The 18,146-nt window shown below is 53.5% G+C and overlaps 1 protein-coding gene across 1 annotated transcript in view, besides 2 other annotated features; it reads right to left on the reverse strand.

The window, feature by feature from the left end:
• Nucleotides 3,663-4,165: an enhancer, noted in NCBI's record as "H3K4me1 hESC enhancer chr10:1219106-1219608 (GRCh37/hg19 assembly coordinates)". NCBI's record gives its function as "activates a minimal SCP1, AML or CMV promoter by ChIP-STARR-seq in naive and primed H9 embryonic stem cells {active_cell/tissue: H9 hESC(naive and primed)}" and the evidence as "EXISTENCE:reporter gene assay evidence [ECO:0000049][PMID:30033119]".
• Nucleotides 7,810-18,146, reverse strand: part of ADARB2 (adenosine deaminase RNA specific B2 (inactive)) — a 560,213-nt gene continuing 549,876 nt past the window's right edge. The window contains exons 9-10 of the mRNA NM_018702.4: nucleotides 15,358-15,536; nucleotides 7,810-13,866 (exon numbers count right to left, since the gene is read on the reverse strand). Of these exons, the coding sequence (NP_061172.1) occupies nucleotides 13,690-13,866; nucleotides 15,358-15,536 (356 nt within the window). The 3' untranslated portion in view covers nucleotides 7,810-13,689. The remainder of the gene's footprint in view (nucleotides 13,867-15,357; nucleotides 15,537-18,146) is intronic.
• Nucleotides 14,953-15,553: an enhancer, noted in NCBI's record as "H3K4me1 hESC enhancer chr10:1230396-1230996 (GRCh37/hg19 assembly coordinates)". NCBI's record gives its function as "activates a minimal SCP1, AML or CMV promoter by ChIP-STARR-seq in naive H9 embryonic stem cells {active_cell/tissue: H9 hESC(naive)}" and the evidence as "EXISTENCE:reporter gene assay evidence [ECO:0000049][PMID:30033119]".

The following is an 18,146-nucleotide window of genomic DNA, read 5'->3' on the forward strand; positions in this document are numbered from 1 at the left end:
GCACCTTCCTTTCCTTTTGGCTTTGTAGTGCTTTCCTCGTTCATTCATGAGCCCCAAGAATAGAATTTGAAGGCTTACTTTTTACGAGGCAAATCACATCTCCCGGCTCGGAAGGGCCAGGGCAGCAGGGGAAAGAAAGTTGTGCAGATTCGAGTCTTGAGTGACCCATGGTGGGGTGCGGGGGGAGGCGTTCCCTGGATGCAGCTGAGCAGCCCTCGGTACCTGGCCACGCCCTACAGTGGCCACCCCACACCCCCCCAGTGCCTTCACCACCACAGCCCCATGCCCCTCTCCCGCCTTCACCACCACAGCCCCGTGCCCCTCTCCCACCTTCACCACCACAGCCCCATGCCCTGATGTACTCCCAGCACAACCTTGGGAGGCTGAGTAAGCACCTGAGTGGGAAGAGGGGGCTTCCGAGACCATGTATGTCCCACAGCTCCAGGGACGTGTCCGGCATTTCCATGGGGGTGTCGTGTTTTCTTGTGTTGTCTAAGCCACTGCTGTTTCATCGTCTGCTAAAGCAGCTGAAATGGTTCCCCAAACGGAGAGAACACTTGGCTAAATGTGCTTTGCTGAGGAATTCCTGCCCCTCTTACACCCCCACTCTCCGATGACACCTGGAATTGAGCTGGGGCCCCAGAGCCGCCCCTTGGCTGGTCAGGGTGGGTTGTTCACTGCCCGTAAGCAGCAGCCATGCCCCTGTCCTTGGCCTCTGAGCTGTGTGAGGACGGCTCACACCAGCAATGCCGAGATTGGCTCAGGGTGTCCAAGTGCACATTCTATTTTGGGGAATTCTATCCACCGAAATTTATTGGCTTGTATGAGAAGCCATGATCTTCGCTGTCTTTTATTTAATGATACATAATGTCCACGTGAACCAGGCAGCTTCCGGCAGCTCCAGAAGAGAGCAGCAGAGTTCGAATCTTCTGTTTCATCCTGAGCCAGCAGCAAGGGACTCCCAGGAGGAGTCGAGTTTGATGCCTGCACTCCTCCCTCGGCGGCCAAGCTCGCCCCTTCCCCAAAAGTGCAGGGCCCTGAGGTCTCTTGCCTCACGACACGTCCAGGTGGCAGGCACCATTGGGGCTGCCATTATCCACAGATGAACTAGCAAACTTGAGGGAGTCTAATGCTTTTCTGAAATGACAGCCAGAAAGTGGCAGAGCTCTCTCATTCCAAAGCCCTCTCCCCTCCACACAGAGCTGGCTGCATGCGGGGCTGGGAGTTCCAGGAGACAGGGAGGAGGCACCAACGTCTTCACTTGCAAAAAACTCATGCTCAGCATAAAAGTCTTAACGTGGGAAGCCACCAGGCATGGCGAGGTGGTGTGTCCCCTTGTGCACATCTGTGTGCTGTAGGGGACACCATTCGGGGGCATCGCCAAGAAAAACGAGCAGGGCCAGGGCCGATGGAGGCCAGGGTTAGGAGGGCCCTGGAGGGATGGGCAAGCACACGCGAGTGGTGATCAAGGAGTGGTGATCAAGCCGCCCTCAGGAAGCCATGACAAGGGTTCAGGGAAGTTGATGAAAGGCCCAGATCTGGGCATCACCCGCGCACGGAGGGCTGAGTGGGCAGGAGAGGCCTGAAGACCAAAGAGCACTCAGAGCCTGGAGAGCAACCGCCCAGGGGATGTCCAGGAGGCTGGCACGGAAGGGGCTGGTACCCACGCCTGATCACACAGCTCCTGCCCCTGCTCCCTTCTGAGCCTCTTGTGTGCTAAATCTAGCACACACACACATATGCACACAGACGTACACATGCATGCATGTGCAACACGGCACACACATGCACACACATGCACACAGCACACACATACACATGCATACACACAATACCTGTGCACACAACACACACATGCACAGAACACATGCACAGCACATGTCCATGAGTGCAAAGCACACACATGCACACACATGTCCAATGCACACACATCATATGCTCACACACATGCATACACATGCACACAATGCAACACGTGTACACATGTGCAAAGCACACACATGCACACTCGTGAGTACACACTCCCCACAGAGTTCTGACTGGAAATGCTCAGGCAGGAGCAGCATTGGAAGGAGGCCCCTGGCGGGCACAGAGACAGGACATAACCCACACTAGCCCAGGACACCATCAGCTCCTCTATCCCAGGCTGTTGCCCTCGGAAGAGCAGTGGCCCCTACCCCGTGGGATCCCTCATGCCCTCCTGCTCCCCTCTGTCTGAGACCCACCAGCCCACCGTTGCATCTCTGGGGTCTCTTCCCTTTCCTCTCATGCGGAGCCATGCGCTGTCCCCCGGCCCAGACATCCGTGTCCACACTGCTGACTGCCCCACCAGTGGCGAGAGCCTGCCTGGGATCTTCCCTTTACAAGAAAGAAGAAAAGGGATAAATACTTATTTTTCCTTCTCAGGGACAGTAATAGTGGTCATTTTCCTTTCCTTTTCTTCTTAAACATCTCATTATGGAAATGTTCAAACACCTGCAAAGTAGGACAGAATGAGCCCCAGTGCCGTCATCTCTGGGCCGTGTCCTTTGATCTGGTCCCCACCCAGCCTCCCACATCCCACGCTGATTCCTTTGAGGCAAACATCGATGACATCTGGGCATTGGATTCTGAAACGTGAGTGTGAAGGAGATGGGGCCTGTGGCTACTAAGTCTGCTCAGAAATCGTAGACTTCGGGGAATTGATCACTATTTTGAAATGTCAGAACATGCTGACAGGGAAGAACGTAGTCGAAGTTTTGCTGTGACGAGGGTGCGTCTTCAGGAAGAGGCTTCTGCAGCATCATCCTCAGCTTCTCATAAGGCGACATTGGTCACGCTATTCTTGGTTATTCCATAAAATCTTGGCATCTTGTGATGTGTTGGTTGTTTTTTTATATGTATGACTAAGCCTAGCATGCCAGGCCCCCGGGACGCTGATTTACAGGCTGTGTCCTCTCAGTGACAGTGCGCAGCTCCCGTTTTCTCCATTCTGCAGTAAGAGCTGTTAACCACACAGAACTCACTGCACACAGCGGCAGAGGGAGCAGCTCCCCTCCAGCCTCTTGGGCTCTCCTCGCCTGTTTTCTGCACCAGAGAGTGAGCTACGGGGCAGCCTGGCCTTGTCCTTTCGTTCCCTCAGCCACTAGCACAGTGCCTCGTAGGTAGTAGGTGCTTAATAGATGTTCAACTAAACTCCTTTCAAGCTACATAAAGTACCTGTATTTGGCTTCATGAAATTGCATGAGAGATTTGGCTTGTGTTGGTTGAGTGAGAAAAAGCAGCTCCCGGGGCCTCTGGTGATCAGCTTCAGCCTTGTGCATATCTGCTCCTCCCTCTCCGGCCTCCCCCCACACCTGTGAGACCCTAGGTCATGCTTGGCCAGGCCTGGCAAGGAATTTCTGAATCTACTTTACATTCTTTTGAAAAATGATCTGGTGTGGAGTTAGCTGCCAAGGGAGGCCAGGAGGTTTGTGTGAGGTGCTGGAGGGATCGGGAGGGCTGGGCAGCCCTAGGGTGACGTGGGGCCCTGAGTCCCAGGCCCTGAGCCTGTGGGCACGAGTGGCAGGTCGACTGGGAGCAGTTGCATTGCACCGGGTGCTGTGACTCTTAGATGCCCATGTGCCCTCGAGCCCTGTTTAATTCCTCCTCCATCAGAGGGCACGGGGCAGGACGCAGAAGCTTCGACATGGACTGGCTGTGTGCAGGGGCCTGGAGAACAGAACGTGTCGCTGGAGCAGTGTGTGCAGGACCCGCCGGGGCGCAGCACCCCTGTAGAACCGCACGGGAGCCGCTCGCAGGTGGAACACGTGCTTGCTGCGGTGCTAACTTTGTGTCCAGGCACAGAATCGAGCCCGTTCCCAACCCGTGAGTGGGTCCCTGCTGTGTTCATCTGAATAAGATGAAATGAAGCACTGGTGGAGGTAGCATCCCGGGTCTCAGCAGTCATAGGTGCGCGTGAACACAGGGCATGCGCTCCACCCGCCGTCCTCAGCGGCGCACACGCACAGGTGGTGTTCAGAGTGTGACGACAGCTGGGGTTTGTTTGTTCGTTTGTTTTATGGAGACGCAAGGTCTCAAGGTCTCACTCCATTGCCCAGGCTGGAGTGCAGTAGCATGATCACAGCTCACTGCAGCTTCAGCCTCCCAGGCCCAAGCAATCCTCCCAGGCCCAAGTGATCCTCCCACCTCAACCTCCTGAGTAGCTGAGACCACAGGCTGCTACCACCACACCTGGCTAATTTTTGTAGTTTTCTTTTGTAGAGATGCAGTCTTGCTGTGTTGCTCAGGCTGGCCTCAAACTCCTGGCCTCAAGTGATCCTCCCACCTTGGCCACCCAAAGTGTTGGGATTGCAGGTGTGAGCCACCACCCCAGGCCCTGATATTTTTGATATTGACTAAATACTGAAAGGATAAAAAGCTCCTACCGAGCTGACCATGAGGTTGTCTCTTTCACTGTCCAGAGAGGAGTGCTGGGGGCCCGCAATGCTTAGGGGCTGTGGATGAGAATGTGGACAATCACTTTTCCCTGTGCTTGGCTTCTCAAGCAACCATCTCGTACCTCAGGGATAGAGCTGTGGGCTCATGGTCTATGGAGAAGCCATGTCTTCAGGACAGAGATGGGTGTATGTGGTCTATGGAGAGACCACATCCTCAGGACAGAGCTGTGTGCTCCTGGTCTACAAAGGGGCCACGCCCTCAAGACAGAGCTGTGTGCTCATGGTCTATGGAGGGGCCACGTCCTCAGGACAGAGATGGGTGAATGTGGTCTATGGAGGGGCCACGTCCTCAGGACAGAGATGGGTGAATGTGGTCTAGGGAGGGGCCATGTCCTCAGGACAGAGCTGTGTGCTCGTGGTCCTCTCCCTACCACTCTACTCCAGCCCCCTGACTCCACACAGCTTCCCCTTCCCATCACTCCATACCAAGCCCACTCCTTGACCGAGCCAAATGTTCCATCCATGAAGATTCATGAGGTTATTTCCTTCGGTGTGTGAGGCACATTCTCCTGTGGTCCTGAGCTCTGAGCAGTGGGAACATGCAGAGGTTCTCAGCCACCTCAGTTTTGGGTTTTGTCAAGCAATGTGTAATCCTCACAGGCCAGCAGATGGAGGCCAACTGCTCTGGGGTCCTCTGTATTTGTGCTCATGATTTTCCTCGGTCTCCTCCCGGCTTCATCTCTGTTGATGAAAGGCTTTCTTTTGGGAAAGCTGGCCCTTTAAGGGCAGTGGCTTTCTGAAACCCTCCAGGGAGAGTGCATTTCCGTCATCAAGTTTAACCCAACTAACGGAACTGGATTTAATAGATTCAAAGCAGGCTGGGTGTGGTGGCCCACACCTCTAATCCCAGCACTTTGGGAGGCTGAGGCAGGTGGATCACGAGGTCAGCAGATTGAGACCATCCTGGCTAACACGGTGAAACCCTGTCTCTACTAAAAATACAAAAGATTAGCTGGGTGTGGTGGTGGTGCCTGTAATCTCAGCTACTCGGGAGGCTGAGGCAGGAGAATGGCGTGAACCTGGGAGGCGGAGCTTGCAGTGAGCCAAGATCTCACCACTGCACTCCAGCCTGGGCCACAGAGCGAGACTCTGTCTCAAAAAAAAAAAAAAAAAAAGATTCAAAGCAGACGAAGGCGTGTCAATCACAGAGCGGTGTGTCAATCACAGAGCATAAGGACCACTGCTGTGGCCACTTTGTCCTTCAACCCCACACACACCTATCAGATTTTGAGAATCAGAGTGGATGGTGGTTACTTCCTTTGGGAACATGCACTTAGCTGAAACCTCTCACTAAGATGATTTATCATCAACTTCAGGTTTCATGCTTTAAAAAAATTCTCAACAAGAAAGAAAAATGACATAGGAGACGAGGCTGTCTGGGGTGAGGGCAGGCGTGAAGAAAGACTGGGCAGATGTGTGAAGCCGTTATGTTTGGAGGGGTTACCAAGAGGCAGACCCCCCCACTGGCAAGAACGAGGGCCTTTTTGGGTAGGAGGGGCTCCTCTGTGAGTGACAGCAAAGACCAACCCCAGGAGCCACTTCTGGGCCACTAAGAGATGAGGCTGGAGACCTTTCTGTCCCTGAGCCATTAAACCATCCCTCCCAACACTCTGATTCTCCATGCTCAGTGACTCTGGCCAGGGACCACTGAGCCACCTTGCAACTCTGACGCCTTTGAGGTTCATCTTGAACCCTCTTTACACCTGCAGGTCTTCTTCATTCTCTGCCCATAACCCTGACCCCTTGTTTTGCTGTCTATGGGGTAATTTATCATAAGGCCCAAGAAATGAGATGCTCTTTAGGGCGCTGACAGCCCACCCGGAGGAATGGCCCCCACCTGTGGATGAGGGGGAGGCATCAGAATCTTCTGGGGTGTTTTCAGAGCCCCCCCACCTCCACCTCTGCCCCCATCTGAGACCCCCTGCACCCTCCCTTGAGTGGAGAATCACTGTGGTTAATGTGAAACACACAGACAAAAAAAAAAAAATGCAGGCACCCACGGCCTGGCCTGAAGGGAGGTAGGGTGGGACTGGAGACGCGGGGTGGACGAGAGCAACACCTCCAAACGCAGGCACCCGCAGCCTGGCCTGAAGGGAGGTAGGGTGGGACTGGAGACGCGGGGTGGGTGAGAGCAACACCTCCAAATGCAGGCACCCGCAGCCTGGCCTGAAGGGAGGTAGGGTGGGACTGGAGACGCGAGGTGGACAAGAGCAACAACTCCAAACAAGACGTCTTATCCCGGCCCCTCCGGCTGCAGCATTGGAGCCCCGTACTCAGCATGGCTGTAATTTTAGTCTATTTCCTGGGTGACAGTGAGAAATCAAAGTCCCTTCAGCCAGCACAGGGATGTCCCTTTCTGGGCCTGCCATGCCCACAGTTAGGTCCCTGGAAAGCAGCAAGATGTGTCACGGGGAAAACACTCTACTGGATTCTGGGGTGCTCAGTCCACGCAGACTGACATGGAGCTGTGGCGCAAGCCCCCGAGACGTTTAGGAATCCCTTACACCCCAGTTCCCACCTGGCTTAGTATTCTACATAAAATTACCAGCCACACCCGTGCTCCGTGTGTTATGGCAAAGCTACGGCAAATCTGGGAGAGGACTCAGAACATCGAACATCTCAGATTTCATAACCCTTCAACCCCTCAAGCCTCCCTCAGCAGCCCTGGGAAGTAGGAGGCTAAGGCTGTGTTCACACACTGGTGAGAAAACTGAGGCGCAAAGTCACGCACGCAGTGATTAATTCATTTTATGCAGTTAATGGGAAGCGGGCTCAAGGCTCGGAGGGAGCTCTTTACACGTCCGGCCCTGTGCTATTATAATGAGTTCATTTACAGTAAATCTGTAAGGCTAATGTCGGGCTAGTAACTGCTGCTCAGGCAGAGGCCACTAGTCGATGTGACCATTAGAAAAAGGAAAAGGGTTTGTTTGTTTGTTTTGAGACAGAGTCTCACTCTGTCACCAGGCTGGAGTGCAGTGGCCTGATCTCAGCTCACTGAAACCTCCGCCTCCCAGTTTCAAGCGATTCCCCTGCCTCAGCTTCCCGAGTAGCTGGGATTACAGGCATGCGCCACCATGCCTGGCTAATTTTTTGTATTTTAGTATAGATGGGGTTTCACCGTGTTGGCCAGGCTGGTCTCGATCTCCTGACCTCGTGATCCGCCGGCCTCTGCCTCCCAAAGTGCTGGGATTCCAGGCGTGAGCCACCGCGCCTGGCCAGGAAAAGGTTTTAGAGCTGATTGTGTCCCTTCTTTGGGGTGGGTGGACACATTGTACAGTCTTGAGACCCCCAGAACTTTGCTTGATGAAAAAGGCCCAACAACCCAGGAAAGAACAATTTTACTGAATATTTTTATTTACTTAACAGAAACATTCACTTATTAGATATCACTGAAGTGCAATTTATAGAACTTAGAGGCAAATTAACATGTAAATTCATATTTTAAGGTTTTGGATTTTTTTTTACAAATATTACAAATGTACATCCATTGATACAATATTGCCATTCTATCATGCTTTTTATGTACATACCTTCAATTAGAATTACTATGTGTTAAGTTCATTTTGCTTACAAAATGCTGAAAACTAACGGGGCACACTGGGAGAGATTTTTTTTTTTTTACCGATGCATAAACTGCAGAGAGATAGAAATCTAGGGCCTGTGTGAAAAGAGGCACTGGGACCAGGTGATCTCGCCTTGGTGTTTAGGGAATGCTCATCCCTCCAACCTTGGCTTAGGATGATGAGTTGGGAAATAAAGTGTTCCTCTCACCAGGGTTTGATCTGTCTGCGGTTCCCGCAGGAGTGATATTGTTTGGTGTGAATCTCTAGAGGCCAGCGCGGTGGCTCATGCCTGTAATCCCAGCACTCTGGGAGGCCGAGGTGGGCAGATCACTTGAGGCCAGGAGTTCGAGACTAGCCTGGGCAACATGGTGAGACCCCATCTCTACCAAAAATACAAAAATTAGCCAATCTCATAAGCCGGTCTCAAAAAAGTAAATAGATCTCTAGAGATGTGGCCACCAGCGTTCCTTCTGGTGGGAGGTCAGAACATGTGGACACATTCAGGAGAGTCCAAAAATGACTGCAGCAACTCCCTGTGCACAAGGCATCAGGAACCCAGCGGGGCTCCCCCAGCCCCAGCATGAACCTGTTGTGTGGATCCCTCGTGGGGGGATGGTGCCTGAGACCTCCTCCTGGGTGGGGGCCACGGCAGCAGAACAAAGGAGCCAGGAGTTTTGGGACAGGGACTAACAAGACAGCAAGAAAGGGAAGAGGCGAGGAGGAGAGAAAGGGTTGAGAAGGGAAGCGAAGAGGCTGAGGGGAGAGTGAGCGGAGGGTGGTGCTGGCCGCCTCTCAGGCTTCCCAGAAACAGCCTGAGAAGGAAGCTCCTCTGTCTCCACCGCATCTCTGGTTGGTCCCTGTGGCCTCTGCTCCTGCCTCCTCACTTCCCCACCATCCTTCCTTCACTTTCTCGGATTCAGAATTTGTGGGAGAAGTTTGACGGGTCACCAGCAGCCCAGTGTTTCCAGAAACAGCCCTGCTCCTGCAGTGGCGAGGAACCCAGACAGCGGCAAGGCCTACACCGTGTCCTCCAGCCACCCGCCTAGCCCCACACAGTGGCAAAATACCAAAAGACCCTAAAATACCAGCGAGGCGGGGGGTGGTCTGTCCCTGCTAAGAGCTGCCTGGGGGTGCTACTGCCTCTCCTGCAACACAGGGCTTCTAAATTTCCACCTCCAACCGCGAGCTCTGCAAAAACTGCAGGCGAGGACAGGCTTTGGAGGTATGTGGGATGGCGGCTCCCTGACATGGACTAGGGGACTCTGCAGCCTCCCTGAGGGCCGCGGGAAGCCCACAGAGCCTCACCGGGTTCTGTTGGGTGTTATGAGAGGCGGCTGCAGCGATCCAACGGTAGTACATAAAAGGAAAGCCTCTCAGCTTCCCTTTGGTCTCTGTTAGAAAGTGATACTTATTGTATTTTGGGCCAATTAGTCAGATTATTTTATTAGAATGGCTTCTTAAAAAAGGGCATATAAGTTTCCCTAAATTAAAAATGTCTACTTTATGTACGTCTCAAATGTCTTCAGTTGTTTTAAACAATACACTATAGACACATCTTGAAATTTATTATCTAAAAATAGGATTTCATCAAAATAACTATTCTGGGCATTGATATCCTCTGTATTTACTGTTTATGGCTCTCCAGACGTGATAAACATTATATCCAAAAAAAAAAGCATGCGACTTTGTTGATAAGAAAAGCTCCCTGTGAAAACAAAATGAGATGGAGAAATATGATCTGTGTGTTTCTTTGAAAAGGAACCCAGCTTGATGTTTCTGAGGAACAGGACTCATCACAAAGTCAGCATGGTGTGATAGATATATACAGATGTAAAGAGAATCACAGGAATGGAAAGGAAACAATAGCTATCGACCTGCACATCCTTTCCTCAGCAAAAACAAAACCCACAGAAACCCTAACTCTATCCCTTGATATCACACACGGCTGCAAAACCGGGGCTGGAGGTGGACAGCGGAGGCTGCCTGGCCGCGCAGCCGTTCCCTGCGCCCCGTCCTGCAAAAAGGCCAGAAACCACCAGACACTAACTTTTTGACTAAGAACCAGGCCGGAAACCACATTGCTGATCTTCCTGATGGGAAAGCAGTGTGTGTTTTGGAGGCAGATAAAGGTGGTGCTGGTTTTATGAGGACTTTTGTAGGGGCCTAAGCAGGCATGAATATAGACTACAGAAAATCTGAAGCAAGGGTATGAATACAGACCACAGAAAATCTGAAGCAAGGGGCTTGGCGGTGTCAGGTGGTGGGAAGTGCGAGGAAGCCAGACGGTGATTTCGAGGTGGACTTGGAGGGGCGGGCCTGACTTCATCAGCCCCCCTTGTGTCGTGCCCAGCGTATTTTCAGGGTGACAGAAAGTGACCCATCCCCTACTTGTGTCGTGCCCAGCGTATTTTCAGGGTGACAGAAAGTGACCCGTCCCCTACTTGTGTCTTGCCCCCTCACTTGGAGGGGAATGGGTGGCCACTCTTAAGACCAATTCAGTGGTCAAAACTGCAGGGCAGACATGGCCTGAAAGTGGTGCTGGGATGTTCTGACCTGGACCTGAGGGCGAAATCCTCAGGCTTCAACACGAGCCCTTCCATCTCTGCAGAGGTGGCACAGCCCCTCCAGGCACATCCAGGGCTGTGGGAATCCTGGGACCTGGGTCTTCCAGGCACACCTGGGGCTGTGGGAATCCTGGGACCCGGCCCCCCCAAGCATAGCTGGGGCTGTGGGAATCCTGGGACCCAGCTCTTCCGGGAACTCTTGGGGCTGTGGGAATCCTGGGACCCGGGTCTTCCAGGCACACCTGGGGCTGTGGGAATCCTGGGACTCGGCCCCCCCAAGCATAGCTGGGGCTGTGGGAATCCTGGGACCCGGGTCTTCCAGGCACACCTGGGGCTGTGGGAATCCTGGGACCTGGCCCCTTCGGGCACTCCTGGCACTGTGGAATCCTAGGACCTGGCCCTTCCTGGCTGGGTCAGGCCCTGCCAGTTGGGAGCAGCCTGCGTGTGGCGTGATCTGGTGTGGCGTGCCTCCTGCGTGTAGGGTCACCCTTGACTGCCTCGACTACCTTCTCCTTTCACTACCCAGGGCCTGGGACCCTCCTTTCCTTACGTGGGGTCCCCTCTGCAGCCCACATCCCCTCTGACAGATCCCTCCACGGAAAGGCTCCGGCACCTCAACCTCACTCTGGCTGCATTGGAAACTCTTCTGTCGCTATCGGCCTTCTCTGAAGAGCTTTAATCTCTCCTTCCATGGAGTCTCCTGTGGACTTAATACACGAATCCATACACTTGTACTAATGGGTAGCATGGAATTAATGTGTGGCTTTCTCCAGATGTGGATGTTGATATTTCAGTAAAGTCTGAGTTGTTTCTGGAAGGTCAATGCCTGAGACAAAACGAATCCCAACCCCCCAGCTGTGGCTTCATGATGCTGGCCACTGGGTGGCCGAGCGCTTTCCGAGTCCCGTGAATCAGACCCTGCGTCTTCCCTGTGACAGTGAAATCTGCTTACAACACAGGCCCCCTCGCTGCAGAAACAGCGTGATTTGGAGCCCACTGGGACAAAGCATTATATGCTTCTCTAGCCAACATCTCAGATGAAGGTGATTTGAGGCCTGGGTGGGAGACTTCAGCCAGGAGCTGGCCGTGCTCCCACGCATTCAGGGGAGCGCTCACTTCTGACTGCTGCGAATGTCTGAGCCACCCATCACCTCTCGACTCTAAGTTCTCTAAGCTTCATCCTAGTGATGTCAAGTTACCAGAACTTAATAGAAACTGGTCGTTTGAGCTTAGCTTTTGCACTGAATTAAGATTTCATTTATTTTTGTGATTTTTATAAAAGATTAATGTGAGTCCTTTATTTGAAAAAATGTTCTCGTATCTTTTGAAACTTTATCTGGAAGAAGTTGTCTACTCCAGTACCTGTTTTCTTTTCTAAAAGAACTCGAGTGATAAATTTGGCCTGATTTTAAATCCCAGGAAAAGTTTCTTTTTCCATACTAATATCTCTACTTCTTATTATCTTGTAACAAATAGCTACAACTCAGTTTCATTTCTGCCTTCTCATTATGATAACTGTAATTTATAGCACTTGACTATGTACAGCACAATGTTATTCTTGCACTTTCTGGGGTGGTCAGCTGGGATTCTTTCCGGGAAGCCCACACCCCAGAGGTGGACACCACCATGCTTTGCCGTCTGCCATCACTGTCATGAATTTCAGAGATGGATTTTTTAAGTTGGAGAAATGAGAGACTGGCTATCTAGCATGATGAATGTTAGAAATGAGTTCTCGGAGGTGAGATGACAGCAGCTCGAGGTACATGGATTACGTAAAGATACTTGGAAAAGAGCCTGACCCCGTATGAATACAGCGCCTTGGCTCTCAGGGATGATGCTGTGGGCTAAAGCCCCCATGTCCCATCTCCACTGTGAGCTGAAGGTCTCTGGTGTTGGAAGCCTGCTCTGAGGGTCACAGAATCCTGCCTCTTACATTTTTTGACAGCTGAACTTTTTTGGGGTCTTGTCCTGCAAGGTGTTGATTGGAGAATCTGAAAGAATAGAGAGCTGGTAGCCTCTCAAGCTGAAGGTAAAGGTTGTTTTGATTTTATTTTGTGCTTGCTTTCTAATGAAAATTTAGTTAAAAAATCAGAATTTGATCAAAGACTTGGTCTCCTTATTACCTGGTAGGGAGGTTATAGGGTGGTAGCTAACCCTTACACAACCCAGACCTCAGTGGCTCTTAGTATCGGCCACCATAAACCAAACGCCATGACGGACTGAACAGGCATGGGCCAGGTGTTTCCGGGCTCCCCACATCTGCAGCACGCGTGGGCCGGGTGTTTCCAGACTCCCCACATCTGCAGCACGCGTGGGCCGGGTGTTTCCAGGCTCCCCACATCTGCAGCACGCGTGGGCCGGGTGTTTCCAGGCTCCCCACATCTGCAGCACGCGTGGGCCGGGTGTTTCCAGGCTCCCCACGTCACAGGTCTTAACTCTGCCTCGCAGGGGTTTTGGAAACTGTTCCTTCACTTTGTGGGAATGGCTTTCGTTTCTCTGGTTCTATTTTAGGTGTTCGGTAATGTCGTACATCTTAAATCTTTTTTGAAAGGAGGTGGAGTATAAAAACCTAAATGAATAGTGAAAATAATAGAGGATTCTTATTGGTTTCTCTGGGGCTGGGGTGGGCATGGCTTTTCTCTTCATTTGTGGCTTATCTTCATGTGCCCCCTCAAGCTAGTGAGACCCCAGCATCACCAAGAGGCGCACGCAGGGGTGGGGTGCAGGGACGGGGCCTGAGGCTCACTCCTGCCTGGTGTCGTGTCGGTGCCTCCTTCCAAGGCTGCAGCTAAAACCCCTTTGCCTGAATGGAGCCCCTCCCTCAGACTCCACAGGAAGAGTCGGCGCTAACTCAACAGTGCATGTGCCCCTGGGTGTGGGGGACAGGGTTCTGGGGCCAGCGATCTGGAAAGAGGCACGTTCTGAATTTGTGTTGTTGCTCGTCCAAACATTGCACACTCGCGTGTTTCTGGGACACCAAAGTAAAACGAATGCAGGGAACCGGCCGACCCGCCACGTCGCCCCCCAGACACGGTCCCATCCCTCCAGCGTCCCGCTCAGCTCCAGCAGCCAGGAGCCCGCAGCCTAGAGAGTCAGTAGAAACTGCTGCTGCTCCGGTGGTTTCCTCACCCAGGTGCCCAGGCCAGCCTTCTGAAAGGCCTTGAACAGCTGCTGTTTCACAGACTGGTAGGTGTGCGCCCCCAGCTTGGCCTCACAGTACATGGAGGGCGTGTCTCCAGGGCTGGGTGTCCGTGTGCTCAGCTGCGGACAAGAAGGAGAAAGAGCCAATCAGACACCAGCAGAAAAGGAGCTTCTGCTAGGTGAGTTTTACATGCCAGGCATCAGCTCCTGGCCTTGGCCTTCTGCCTTTCTTTCTCCCACTATTACAGAGAGCAACTGTGACCAGGTCCTCTGGCAATTCCACAGGAAACCTAGTCATCAAGGAAACCCGCTTCATCTGAGGTGTGAATGATGAATGAGCGGATAAACTTGACTGCTACTAAAAGTATGAACACTGTGCAGGGGCTCCAGGCAGGGTTGGGGACAGAGGGGGACAGTGGGAGCTAAAACAGCATCACAGTGGGCAGGGAGCAGGCTGGTGAGAGTCATGTTGTCGGCTGAGCAGGAGGATGATGGAGCTGGGGCGTTTCCTCTGTTAGCTTTCTGAGGTCTGCCAGGCAAAGCTTTGCAGCAACACAAGACAGGGATCAAATGCAGCTCTGATACCCCCACCACGGGGCAGGGAGGCCAGGAGGGAAGAGGATGGGGCCATGGGGGAGCTCCAAATCCCACAGCGGGTCTTCCAGGGAGGCACTCACCGGGGGGTCACCTCGAGCATGTGCAAGAGGAGAGGGCCCTTTTGCTCAGCAGGACAGCATCGACGCTTCCCTGACCTTCCAAGTCTCCAGGAGAAGGGAGACCCCGGCAGTGCCCTTGAGCGGACAGGACAGAGGCTGAGAGCTGCAGGATGCTGGGCGTCTCGGCCAAGCTCAGAGCTAATATGTGCAATTCTGAGTGTCCTCTAAGTTGGCTAAAACGTTTATTTTAGGCATTAGTATGCCTGCCCTCCTCTACCAGTTGACAAATCAACACTATTATTCCTGCTTGGATTAAAAAGTGTGGAAAAATGAGAGAGGCATTTTTTATGTGTTGGCTGGTTTTTCTGTTATTTGTTGTTTTTGGTTACAGTCTATGCTTTGGAAATGCATACAGATACAGATTTTGATTTAAAATCCAGAAATATTGCTGTTATCCCTACTTGTGAAGGAGAAATTTGCTCCTAATTGTGGATGTCGTGGAAATGCTTGGGCTTTGGGGTTGGGGAGAAATTCGAATTCTGAAATTCATTACCTGTGAAATTTTGGGGAAATTACACAATTTTTCTGAGTGTCGGTTTCCTGATATCTAAACCGGGAATAGTATCGACTTCAAAAGTCCCCAGGAGCTGCTTCTGGGACACCCCGAACAAAGCAGGTGGTGCCGTGCCGGCTCCGTCAGGGGTTCAGCAATGAGCTCCTTTCCTGCTTCTGCAGCTCCAGCCTGGTCTGGGGGCGGTGCCTGGGGTAGCAGGGTCTCAAGCCTACAGGGGAAACGCTGCTGGCCTGGGCAGCTGGGAAAAGGACATGTGATGGGCGCTGTGTCGTGCATCTCCCTCCCTGCAGACCAAGTGTTGGCCTCTCCCAAGAGCTTGCTCAGGGCTGGAGCCAGGGTCTGGCTGGGTCCAGTTTCCCTGCAAGGATGGGTGCGACCTACCCTGCCATACAGCCGCGCCCACCGTGCAGACAGCACGTGCTTGCAGAGCCGGGATGGGCCCCCACAGCTCCTCCGCCCAGTGGTGGCGTTGATAATCTCCAGGTCCGCGCTGCCCACGACCCAGTTCATGCTGAAGGGGGGCGACTTCCCCGGCTGGCGCGCCTCGGCGTCACTCACGCCTGTCGGGGAGATGGGGAAAGGCGGGCGTTAATATTCCTGGCCTCACACGGGGCTCCCCCAAGGGCAGCTGCGGGGAAATGGAGCCTGTATGTGAGTGGGAATGGTCCTCCCTTTTCATCCTCAGGACTGGCCAGTTCACGTGTCACCCGCAGGGCGGAGGCTGCAAATTGGGCAGGATCGTGGTGGCCGCCTCGGGTCCACGGCGTCGCTGCACCTGCGTCAACCTTCTAATCGAAGATTTTAATAGTCTGGTGATAATATAGCTCCGTCCAGATTCCCCCCCCTTCTGTAAATATTAGTTGAGTGAATGAATGAACAGAGCCACGTGGAAGTGATCTGAGAGTGTGTTTATCAGGCACCTTTGCAGGCCCCGCTCTGCTGGAGGCAAAACACCGGGGCTAGTAAGCAACATGCAGCTCCCTGGCTCCCTCGGGTTTACAGTTTAGCTGATGAGAAAAACAAAACAAAACAAAACAATAAAAACCAGGCAGAAATGAGTGTAGGATCAATTGATCCGCAATGTGATCCTGAAACCGCACTGGCTACAGAGTGTTTGAGACTCAGTGCACAGCGGAAATATGGGGCCTTTTGTTCGAAAGTTACGAAGAATTTCATGATGACAGTGGGGCGTTAAACCAAGCATGGGTTCGTCTAAGCTCAGGTGCCTGTGTGAGCTGCAGGGCTGCATGCCCACGATGCTGGTCCTGTCCAGAGAGAGCCGGCATCTTCAGGGAAGCCCTCGTTTCAAAAGTGTTGCCTCTTGTGTGCTTGGACTTTTAACCCGGACCATACAGTCCTTGCAGCCCAGCTCACAGTGCAGAAGGGTGGATGAGGAGGTCTCCACTCTGGGGTGGCAGCTGCTTTGCAGCTGGGGGTGGTGCACTTTCTGGCTTCTAACTGTGGCCCCAGCCCTGACTCCTTGAGGTGCTCCTGTGCTGATTGGGGCTTCTGGACATGCTGCCACAAGATGTCTGGAAACTCCAGGGGGCACCTGCCGAGACCCTGCCCTGTGACGGCCTGAGGATTCCAAAACATGAGATTCCGGTGCAGCTGAGCCCCGCCAATTCATTGTCTCTTTCAGTCCCTTCTGAAGGCTGCATTTGGCAATGTGACCCTCGGGGTGGGGAAGGCATCAGAGGAATACAGGCTATGGGACGCCAGAGGCAGCGTCCTGGGGACAAAGCCCACTTCTTCCCATGCCCAGGGCTTCCTCATGGACCCAGCATGGTGGACGTGGCCCTCAGACGTCCATGGGTGGTGGGGGAGGCACGTGCTGTTTGGCCCTGTCTCTGCTCAGAGTCTCATAGGAAGATGCATGGTCCACACAACAGTGAGTCGGCAGGGAGTCCAGGCTCCCACTCACAGCAGTGGTGTTGAGACGCTTGGTTTATAACCCAAGATCCCTTGTCCCATTGGTGCCTCCTGAATCTCCCACCTCCCGCGGCACCTGCATGGCCTCTACCTGACGCGTTCCCCAAGCCCAGCTGGCCGGGTGTCTCCCTCTCATTCATGCCTCCTCGCAGATCAGCTCTGCCTCTCCAGCCCTTCCTGCCTTCCTGGCCTGCTGTCCTGTGGTGCTTGGAGGCGAGCGGGGCCCCTGAGTTCTCGGGGGCCCGTCATGCATCACGTGAGATGGCGGTGCCTGCAGAGAAGAACTTGGCGTCTTGGCCAGGGCATTGCATATAGGCCAGCCAAGTGCCTGCTCAGGTCCCTGGGAAGCCACTGGCTATTGGTGGAGAGGCCCAGGTGTCAGCATTGGTCTGAGAGCAAAGACCTGGTGGGCTGAGCTGGTGCGAGTGGGTTCCCGCCATAGCAGACTCCCGGGAGGAAGCTGTCCCCACGTCACGTGGTAGCACAGCTCATAACACCTTCCTGGAAGCAGGCTTCATTTAAATTCGGGGAAGACCCACTGACTACAGAGTTGCACAGCCACAGACCCCAGATCCTCTGCTGCTCCCAGCTTCATCCACGAGCCTGAGCTCTGTGGACAGACTGAGCACATGGCCCATTTGCCAACCACTTCGAAAGTCACCTGGTGAGCTTCTGCTGGCCACAGACAGGTGATGTGGGACACCCAAGCGAATCCCGTTCATGTCAGCTCTTCCTTTTTCCTTCAAGTGATTCACGGTGGCAGCTGCCACCCCGAGAGCCGGGAGGGACAATCTGGCCCGTTGGCCGCTGTGGCTGTCCTACTAGGCAGGGGCCGCCTGGGCAGGAGGAGCCAGCCACCAAGGCCAGGGATGACCGGGCACTGGGAGAGGCAGTCACTACCCTGATCTGCGTGCACTGGGCAGCCTCCCCTCCTCCTCCCACTCCCGTCACCAGGCGGCCTCCCCTCCTCCTCCCGCTCCCATCGCCAGGCGGCCTCCCCTCCTCCTCCTGCTCCCATCCTTCTGGTCTCCATGACCATCAGGGCCAACCACTGAGGTGCCAAGCTGCAAAGTCTGAACTCAGAGGAAAGCCTTGGGAGCCTGAGGTCTACACAGGACCTCCTGGTTCCTTGTCAGGATGCCCTGGCTCCGGCCTGTGCCCCTCTCCTTTCTCTTTGCGGAGGACGTTGTGGGCAAGTTGCTGCTAGCCCTTGGCCAGCTGCCGTCTGACGGGGTTTC

The sequence above is a fragment of the Homo sapiens genome, chromosome 10 (assembly GCF_000001405.40).
Source record: "Homo sapiens chromosome 10, GRCh38.p14 Primary Assembly".
Lineage (NCBI taxonomy): Eukaryota > Metazoa > Chordata > Mammalia > Primates > Hominidae > Homo > Homo sapiens.